The sequence below is a fragment of the Homo sapiens genome, chromosome 5 (genome assembly GCF_000001405.40).
Source record: "Homo sapiens chromosome 5, GRCh38.p14 Primary Assembly".
Lineage (NCBI taxonomy): Eukaryota > Metazoa > Chordata > Mammalia > Primates > Hominidae > Homo > Homo sapiens.
The window spans coordinates 74,196,471-74,206,841 of NC_000005.10; the positions used below are offsets into that span (position 1 = coordinate 74,196,471).

General features: G+C 43.8%; 2 annotated features.

Moving 5' to 3' along the window:
- Nucleotides 5,149-5,218: an enhancer, noted in NCBI's record as "active region_22662". NCBI's record gives its function as "activates an Ori minimal core promoter by ATAC-STARR-seq in GM12878 lymphoblastoid cells {active_cell/tissue: GM12878}" and the evidence as "EXISTENCE:reporter gene assay evidence [ECO:0000049][PMID:35858748]".
- Nucleotides 5,239-5,288: an enhancer, noted in NCBI's record as "active region_22663". NCBI's record gives its function as "activates an Ori minimal core promoter by ATAC-STARR-seq in GM12878 lymphoblastoid cells {active_cell/tissue: GM12878}" and the evidence as "EXISTENCE:reporter gene assay evidence [ECO:0000049][PMID:35858748]".

The window sequence follows — 10,371 nt, forward strand, 5'->3', positions numbered from 1 at the left end:
TCATTCTTGACAGAAACTAAGTGAGAAGATTGTCCTTTTCTAAAAGTTTAAATGAGCCTTTAAAAGCATAATTTCTAAGTTGCAGCCAGGTCTTGTGTGTTGTACATGGCTCAGCAGCAGGTCAATTTCTTATTCCCTGCAGGTTCAAATAATGCACTTTGAAGAGAGAGCAAGGAAGAGATTGGAAATAAAATCTAATTTCTATTCTCAGAGAGAAGGTCATGCAAATTCTGAGGCAATTAGAAAGATATTTCCACTTTCTCCTTATGCTTTTAGCCTCTACTGCATTTAAGAATTAATACATGTTTTTGAAAGGTCTATTTGTATGCGTTTGAACCATTACCAGTTAGACAATAAGAAAATAAGAAGATAGATATCTAAATTTTATTGGTGGGAAGACCTCCATGTAGATTAGATGAATGATTCCTGATGATTCTATGAGACTTAGAACACCAAAGCTTCCTTCTGGAAAGATCTAAGGAATATGGAATGCCCAAACCTTCCACCATAGATTCTCCTGCTGGAGCCCCCTTGGGTATCACTATGAGCTGAATAACTCAAACTTAAGGAAATACAGTTCGAAAAATAGATTAATCCTAAAGACAAAAACAACTTCATGGGTAGGTTTGGGATTTCTCAAAAAGTCTATGAAGATTGTCATGCAGATTACAAAAAGAGGTTCTCCAAGAGATGAGGGGAGACATGAAGGCAGATACAAGAGCTCGACTCCCTGTTAGCTCCTTCAAGACATTTCATTTGTAATCTGGGCAGAGTCATGCCCATAATGTAGTGTTATTTCTTCACATATTGTTATTCCCTTTGGTTCCCTCAGGACTTCACAAAATCTGATGAATCCACACAAATGTGGATTATGCTTTTGTCAAGGGAAATGAGAAATAGGCCCCACCCTGTGCTGCCTGCCTCCTCAATGGAGACCACGTGGAGGTAGTATAAATGTATCCTGGATACCTTATTTATTATTGGAGGCCAAGATCATCATCAAGGGGCAGTGGCCTGCAGTGGAGCTCGGAAGGATACACTCTATGGAGGAGCAGCTGGCTGTTATGTGGACAATTTGGAAGGTGAATTGAAATAGCCTCCCTTTCCAAAACATGTCATGAGGTGATCCTTAAGGGAAAAAGAGAATTTATCCTTGATGTGGCCTTTTTAAGACAAGGCCACAAACTTCTTGACCTTTTTCCCATTGAGAAGTGGCATTGACATCCCCTCCCCATGAAGCTGGGTGAGTCTGTGCCTGCTTGGACCAGTGGATTATGGTGGAACCGATGTTATATGACTTCCAAGGTTAGGTCAAACAGACCATGTATCTTCTGTCTTGCTCACTGGAATATTTACTCATGGAATTTTGATCCACACGGAGAGACCATGCATAGATGCTCTAATGGACAGTCCCAGCTAAGCCTACCCTTTCAGTCCTGCCAGCCCAGATAGCAGGCTTTGCAGTGAACACATCTCCAGATGATTTCTGTTCCAGCTGTCCTAGGTTAGCCCCAGATGAGGCCACAGACATTGCTGAGCAGACACAAGTCATGCCCACTGAGCTCTGTTCAAATTCCTGTCCCACAGAATCTGTGAGCACCATAAAATGATCATTGCTTCATGCCACTGACTTTTGGGATGATTTCTTAGGCAGCAATATATAACAGGAACACTTGGGTTATAAATGCGATTTAACTACCTGCCATTCCCTAGTTTCCCATGGTTCACATTCTCTTATAGTGAGTGACTGATTCAAGCCCCAGTACAATATGACTATCTTAGCCATTGTCTCATGTAATAATCCTGCTAAGGGCATACAATCTGTTTGCATCAATTTCCAGTGAAGTGTGTACTGTGCTAAAAGCATGTTAATGAAGTGTCATGTCAGCATGTTGAAGGGAGGAATTAGTGTATTGGTCAGACCAAACCTCAGAAAGCCTGACATGGCCATAACATCCTTCTAAGAGATTAACTCAGCAAAAATAATCCCTACATGAGCCCCATTATTTTGACCAATAATGATTAAATTAGGAACAAGCACCTAACCTAAGAATAGTTGACAGCACGCCTCAATTGGCTGACAGTGTGTAAGCTAGAGCTGGCCAAGAGGAATGATGATAACTAACTGGTCTAATGGGAGTCTTTCTCTGTAAGTCTCTGGACTCAAGAGACAAAGAGAGGCGCATACAGACACACACACACACACAGAAGACATTTGGAAATTGATAGCAGAAAGTAGATATGTAAAGGCAACACAGAGAGAGCAGTCAGAAGTCCTGAGATAATAAGAGCCCTATGAAAGAAACACCAGAGTACACCAAAGTCACGAGTAAGCAGGAGCTAGGAGACAGAAGTGTAGGCAGGTCAACTGCTGACATCAGGAGCAGTGGAACAGAGTAGGAATATGGCACTAGGAATCAACGAGTGCTGATTGCAAAGGAAGCTGCCAGATACAGAGGACACTAGAGTTGAAGTTTATCCAAGCCTTTATTCAGTGATGTTCCTTTCAAATACAAAATTGTTCTGTGAGGAAAATAAATTTCCTTTTGATCGGTTAGTGACAGCATGTTTATTCAGATATAAAGCACACACTGTACATGTTTCCCACCATTTTTCCCACTTAGTAAGTCATACCATGGAAAGACTTTAGTATGTTTCTGCTTAACATCCTGTCGTGGTTGCTGGGCCCACCCTCTTGCTGACATCATTGCCAGAGCTGAAACCCCACAGAATTCTGAGTTCTGAGGAAGCAGCAGCCACAGCCACATAGTCCTGAGCTCTGGGTCCTCACTCAGTGGGCTCCTTCATCTGTCCCTGCCTGGTTTCTGTAAACCCAGCATAGGGCTGTCACAATGTGGCCACAGAAGCCTGGGGCTCCTCCTCAAGCTCACCCCATGGTGATGGTCAATAGCCAGCAGAACAGAGTTGGGCAAATGCCACACAGCCACTCAATCCATTGAGACACTAGGGTGGCAGCAGCAGCAGAGCCATCACGAAGAGACTTGGAGAGGGAGGATGGATAGTTTAGAAACTATGGGGAGGACAATGTTTGCACAAAACTGAGATCACACTGATACCTCAGAATTCCAGCTCATCTCTGAAGATTTTCCTTATGCAACATTCCAAGTAATCCATGAAACAGCCTCAGCCTGCCACCAGCAGCTTTAGCATGAGTGCTCAGAGTGGAGGCTGGAGCAGAAAAATCCATCTCTGCCCTGGGGCCCACATTCCAGTGAGTGTCAGAGAGAGCATGGGCTTTCTCCAGAGGATGCCAAAGGGAGGAATTTCACCTGTGAGCTGCCTCCACCCCATCTTAACTAAAGGAGATGACACTGACTTTATAGAACTGTACTGTGCCTTGTACAGGCGCTCTGGACCACTCTGGACCTGGGCATAAAATAAACAATGTGGCCTCTTTTTCCAGACCCCTGTTGTTGGCAGCCATACATCTCTCATCAGAGTAATCAGTACCCCAGTCTGAGGACCACACGGGGCAAGTCTGTTAATGCTTAGTTAATGGATAAGAAGTATTTGCCCAGACATGCTGTCAACCAGACAGGCATCTTCATGCGAGTGAGGAAAAGAAGGCTCAGAGCAGAACCAGCACTGTCAGGGTGGATGCTTGAAGTCTAGGAAGCAGGAAGGAATCCCTGCCTACCATGTGCTGGGTTTCCATAAAAAACATCATTTAGGCTAGGCACGGTGGCTCGTGCCTGTAATCCCAGCACTTTGGGAGACCGAGGCAGGTGGATCACGAGGTCAGGAGATCGAGACCATCCTGGCTAACACGGCGAAACCCCCTCTCTACTAAAAATACAAAAAATTAGCCGGGCGTAGTGACGGGCACCGTAGTCCCAGCTACTGGGGAGGCTGAGGCAGGAGAATTGCGTGAACCTGGAAGGTGGAGCTTGCAGTGAACTGAGATCGCACCACTGCACTCCAGCCTGGGCGACAGAGCGAGACTCCGTCTCAAAAAAAAAAACAAAAAAACAATCATTTAATAATAACAATAGATGCCCTAAGAAATAAAGCAGGGAAGGGCCTGACAATACAGCTGCAACACACAGAATTAGGAGTGATTAGTAGGAACAAAGGAAGGGCCAGTTAATGTTTTGGGCAAACAGGGTGACTTGACAGGTGCAGCATGTGCTCTGTACATACAGTGGTGGCGAGGGTTAAGAGTGGCCTCCACACAGCATCAGGTTTAGTCATGTAAGATGTGCTTCCAGGACTAATTGACATTTGCTATTATATCCTTTGGCAACAGTGCTCCCTTTGTTAATGTCCTTGAAGGAAATAGAAAACCTTCTGGTTTTGATTTTGCTTCATTGACCCTTCTTTGACCTGCATCTGGTCCTGGCAAGGTGGTGTGTATCTCAGATGCACTTTAGAAGTCATGACCTGAGACTAAACTTAATCCTGGTGGAAAGAGGGGAAGGAAAGTCATGCTGCGGGTTTGTGACCTTTATGTCAATGGCTAGGGGGACAGAGGCACCTCAGTGCTACTCTAAACAAAGGGCTCCCTGAGGTCCCATGCATTTGTTCCGTGCCACCGCCTGCTTTGCCCTTGGGAATAAAGCTCTATCCCTATGTTCCTCTGAAGTTCCCCTTTCCATCAGGGATTACCTGACATGCTTTTCCTTGGAGGACAGAAACCCATCTTTGTGGGGGCTCATGCTATAGAGGCTACAACCCTTCAGAGAGCACTTTCCAAAAAGAGAATTCTAGACGGGAGGAGTCCGCTGTATAATCTGCCCCAACACTTGTTTACCTTGACATTTCCTTCTGGGAGATTTCTGCTATTAAAACATGGAGCTTTGTTCCGGGAAAGAGGTCATCTGCTTGCACGGGAACACTTGTCCACGGCGACAGTCAGACAATGTATTCCTCGGATTTTTCTTCTCCCTGCTCGCTCCAAGGCCAGCAAGGGCTGGTTTTCTTGGCTTTTGGCACTGAAGGCAACAAAGCCTGTGGTGTGCTTGCCAGATTCTGCGGCCACAATTGAGCCAAAGCTGTTCTTGAAATGCTCTTTCCACTTGGGCACACGGCCCTCCCACTCCCACTTCCTGTACCCAAGGGAACCTTCTCCTACCACCTGCTCAGCCCAGCCTCTCTTTCCAGCGCCATCTAGCCTGCTCAATGCAGAGGACTTTATCAGGTCATCTCTGACTCATTTCAAATGGTTATTTATACCACCTGCATTTATAATTAACAGCAAAGGGGAGTTCTTCAGGAGTTGAAGTAGCAACCCAAAGCAGATGTTAAAGACCCCAGAGAATAGAGGCTGAGGGCAGCTGACCTAAAAGAATCTCACTGTGTTTAGGAAGAATGAAGTGAGTGAAATGAAGGAGGCTAGGAAAATGAAGACGGCTAGGGAGGAAGCATGAGAGTGGATCCCTATAGCTCTGTGGCTTCAGAAAAAGGAAATGAATCACTTGGATTTGACTACAGATATTGTATATAAGGTGACAAATTCTGAGAGTTTCCTGAATGCAGGGCCATTTGATTCTCATTCTGGGCTCAGCCTCATCTCCCCCATGGGAACCCCAGCCCCAGCAGCCTGTCACCAACCCAGAGGCTCTGAAGACAGTGGCCCTGGGAGAGACAGGACTTCTCTTTTCAAAGTAAACACTGACAAAAACCACTTAAGATGTCCATGGTCAGGAGATGACACTAAGAGTAATTAAAATCAAATTCTGAATCCTCTTCTAGCACTCACATCACAAATCATGGTGCCAGGAAGGGAAATAGACCAAGTAAACAGGCAATGTCAGGGAAAGGCCTGAAAGTAGGCTCTGAAGACAATGTCAGTCTTTAGAGTGATCCAGTCAGGAGGCAGGACAGCGGGGATATTTATACCCCTGCAACAGTAGGTCCTTAGTTGAGGACACCTCCCAGCAAAATGTAAACTTCCAGGTATGTTCCTACTCTGCTAACATATTGGTTCCAGCAGTCATTGATGTCATTTACAGCATGGAAATTCTCTGGCTAAGAGAAACAGAAGCTGGTTGTTGGGATGAGACTAGACAGGTGCTTGCCAATGGTAGAGGGACCCAGGCATGGGTGGAGCACTGACACCAAGAGCTGTCCCAGATGTCCTCAGGTCCAAAGCTCGTGCTTCCCCACTGGCACATGCCCTTGCCACAGACACGGCTAGAAGGCTATAGGCGTTCTGCATTCACAGGCTGCCATCCTGGAGGCAGGGTTGGTGGGGGCAGGGCCTATTTATAATGCCATCTCAGGGGACAAAGAAGGGGCAAAAACCCATTGTTCTTATGCCGCACAGTCACAGAAAGCCTCAACTTTTAAGCTTGTGGGTATAGCAGAGATAAAATTAGAGGATGGAAAGATGTCACCATTCAATTTTAAATTCCCAGACCCAGACTGTCTCTAAGGCACTATAAATTAATATTTTCTACATTTCCTAAAATTATCTTGTAATTAGCCCATTTATATTGTGTGACACTTCCTTCTGTGATGGGCCATTTTTGGTTTATTTTTAGAATTAATAGATTATGAACAGAATGTAACAATGATTTAAATCATAATAGTTATGATATTCTGTTTTATCAATTTTTAAATTATATTATTTTGCTACAAAATTTTTGATGTCTTGTTTCAGACCAATATTTTTAATAGCGTTTTGTGTATAAACATCAGCAAAGTGTGACATTTCTTATTAAATGAATCATTTTCTTAAATATAAATATTAGGCCACAATTTTCATTAGCTAGTTTTGGTATCTTTCATTGTTAACACACAGGAAACTTTGATATAAGAAGAGGGAAAATGAGCTCTCTGAACTCCTGAGATGGCTGCAGAGACAGCAGAGTTGACACACAGCAGGGGCATAGGCACCTTCCTGGACAGAGAAGAAAGCCCGGGAAGAGGTCAGTCTCAGAAGCAGGAGGTCCTGCACCTCCTGGCCACCACGGCCACAAGCTCTTCAGGAGCTGGGCCCAGAAGTGCAGGAAGGCAACATACGTCCAGGAAATGTTGGTTGGCTAGATGAAAGGATGAAGCGTCCTAATGACCCATGGACGGTGAGGACAGTTCCAGCCCAGGCAAAGGGCCTTTGAATCTGGAGGGGCTAGGCCAGCAGCCTGAATCATCTAGGTTTAAAGACAGCAGAAAGCCTGGCTCACAGCAGTGTGAAAGGACTCCAACCTGGGCACCTTCCCCAGCTTCATGGCCTGGGTTCCAAAGGGATTGACCTCTGACTCTTCATACCCACCTCAGGGGTAGCTGCCTGGGATACCCAGGCTCTGCCTTGGACCCTTGGAAGTTGGAGGAGCCCAGCAGTCTGAAGGAATATGCATGCTCTTGACTCTATTTACAGCTGGTCTCCAAACTTTTTCTCAGTATCTGTATCGGGTAAAAATATATATATATATATATATATATATAAAATATATAATATATAATATATATATATATATTATATATAATATATATATATACACATTCCCAATATTGGCAAGACAGAATTGTGACCTAGCTCATTGAATTCTTAACCCATGATGATATATGTGTAATGGTCTCCAGAGGGGCTATATCAGAATAACTTGATTTCAGTTCTGTTCAGCATGTCACTGGCCCCTTACTGAGTGCCAAGCACTGTGCTGTGTTCTGGGATCCAAAGTCGAATAAGACCTATTCCTTGTCTTGGAGAAGCTTATGATCCTGTGGGGAAAATAGCCCATATCTATAAGGTAAGGGCATAAATCAGGGAGTAAAGCCAGGGTTTAATGCTAGGTCACATGGGAACCTTAGGCTGGAGTGAAGCTCAATTCATCTATCTTTAAGAAGATTGAATATAATTATCATCCCAACTACCGAATGTACTAACGGAAGTGGGAATATCAGAGTGTGAAGGCAAAATCTTATTTTAAGTGCAATAGGAATGTATTTTTAGACTTGAAGCAAGGAGCTCTGGCTTGGGTGGGAGACTTGGATGGAAGTGGGAATTCATACCATTCTCTGCAGAGACCCAAGGGAGGCAAATCCTGAGCCATACTCTCTGGAGACAACATTCCAGTTTCTAAAATCTGATGTAAAGCTCACAGGGTTAGGAGACAGAGATAGGGAGGTAGTGTGCATCTACCCCCTTGGTAGGTGAGCTATGCCTTTGACCCTCTGAACAGAACTTTCAGAAAAAGAGATAGCCAGAAGCTGGTAAACAGGTGCAAAATTACAGCCAGGTAGAAGGAATAAGTTATAGGGTTCCATAACAATGTAGGATAACTATAATTAACAACAATGTATTATGTATTTTCAGATAGCTAGAAGAGGGGATTTTGAATGTTCCTCACACAGAAAAATGACACATGTTTGGGGTGATATATGCTAATTACCCTGACTTCATCATTACCCATTTTATACATGTATCAAAGTATCACACTGTACTCCCAAAATATGGACAATTATGTCAATTAAAAATAATAATAATAATAAGTCCAGAAACAAAGAGTTAAGTCACCAACTATTTTTTCCTTCTTGGTGAATTGATCTTCAGTAAGCCTTTTTTTCTTTTTCCCTTCCACCACCCCAACCCTGCTCTCTCTGTTTCCTTACCCAAGCTTGTGTCCTCTAGTTTTATGGGTGTTGCTATCGTCTCAGCTCCTGCCTGTAACTGCCCATTCAGCCTCTTTTTCATGCCCCTTCCCTGCAAGAAAACTGCTATAGCTGAATGTTATGTCCCCCAAAATTCAAATGGTGAAATGTAATCACAATGTGATGATACTACTAGGTGGGGTCTATGATCAGGTCATAAGGCTGCAGCCCTCGTGAATGGGACTAGTACCCTTATAAAAGAGGTCCCAGGGAGCTATTGTGCCTCTTTTACCATGTGAGGACACAGCAAGAAGGCATCACGTATAAGGAAGCAGGCTTTCACCAGACACTGTATCTGCTGGCACCTTGATTGTGGACTTCTCAGCTTCCAAAACTGTAAAAAACTAATTTATGTTGTTTATAAGCCACCTAGTTTATAATATTATTTTATAGTCACCCAAATAGACTAAGACAGAAACATCCAAAAGCGTTGGAAGCAGAAGATGCAAAGATAGTCCCATCACTTCTCAGAAACTCAGTCCCATGAGTGCTGGCCACTTCAACTGGGGAGGCTTAGTTTGGCTCAGCTTTGAGGAGGTGGTAAACAGCTTCCAAGTAATGGACTGAATATCTATGTCCCCCAAAATTCATATGTTGAAGCCTAACCCCCAATATGATGGTATTTGGAGGCGGGGCCTTTGGAAGGTAATTAGGTATAGATGAAATCACAAGAGTGGGAATCCCACGATGGGATTTGTGTCCTTAGAAGAAGAGGAAGAGAAACCAGAGCTTGCTCACTCTATTCTCCCACCTCTCCTTTTCTCTCTCTCTTCTTTCTTTCTCTTCCTCTCTCTCTCTCTGCCATGTGAGGCAACAATGAAAAAACAGCTGTGTATAAGCCAGGAAGAAGGCTGTCACCAAGAGCCCAACCATGCTGGTACTCTGATCTTGGACTTCTCAACCTTCAGAACTGTGAGAAATAAACATCTGTTGTTTAAGTCACCCAGTCTATCGTATTTTGTTATAGCAGCCCAAGCTGTCCAAACACAGGTTAAAATGGCTAAAACATTATGCAGTTTTTTACTCATTTTATTTTTCAAAATCCTCTCTCATTTAGAACATCTTTCAATTAACTTGAAAAATGACTCCTTATTATACTGTTACATATTTGCCACACAGAGAAAGTACAAACTATGGAGCAAAGAACTGCTAACTATTACCTCCATTCTGACTCTGGCAGGAGCTATGTTTCGAGGTAGTTCTGCCAATTAGTGGTTCTCAGACTGGGTTTCCCTATCACATAATCAGAATTCCTTGGGGTATGAACTATTCAGATTCTTGTCCTACCCTCCCCTGTCAGGGCAGAGTAGGTGAATGAAGGTAATTTTTTTTTTTCCTAATTGACATTTGGAACTCATTGCTCCAGAGAATATAAGTTGGAATTGCTTTTCTTCCCAATTTAGAAATTATCTAGTTTTCCTCAAGTCGTGAACATTCAGACTCTCTGAAAGCCTGTGTTTTCCCTCGAAACGGAATGACACATTGGCCCCCACTCCACCGCACACACAGTCGCCTCCCTCCTCCTCTGTTCACAGCCAAGCTCATGGCACATTGCCCAGCTGGTGAGCACGTTCTGGCTGCCCAACAGCTCTTCAGTCATCTCTTTAAAATTCATTATCCAAATGTGCAGAAATGATCATTTGGAGTTGCTATCATATTTCTCTGCAATGTGACACTCCTCTGACGGGATCATGTGTGGAGAAAACGTGCCCCTTTGACAGAGATGTTATTTCAGCAGGGTGTCTTCTTTCAAAGGGT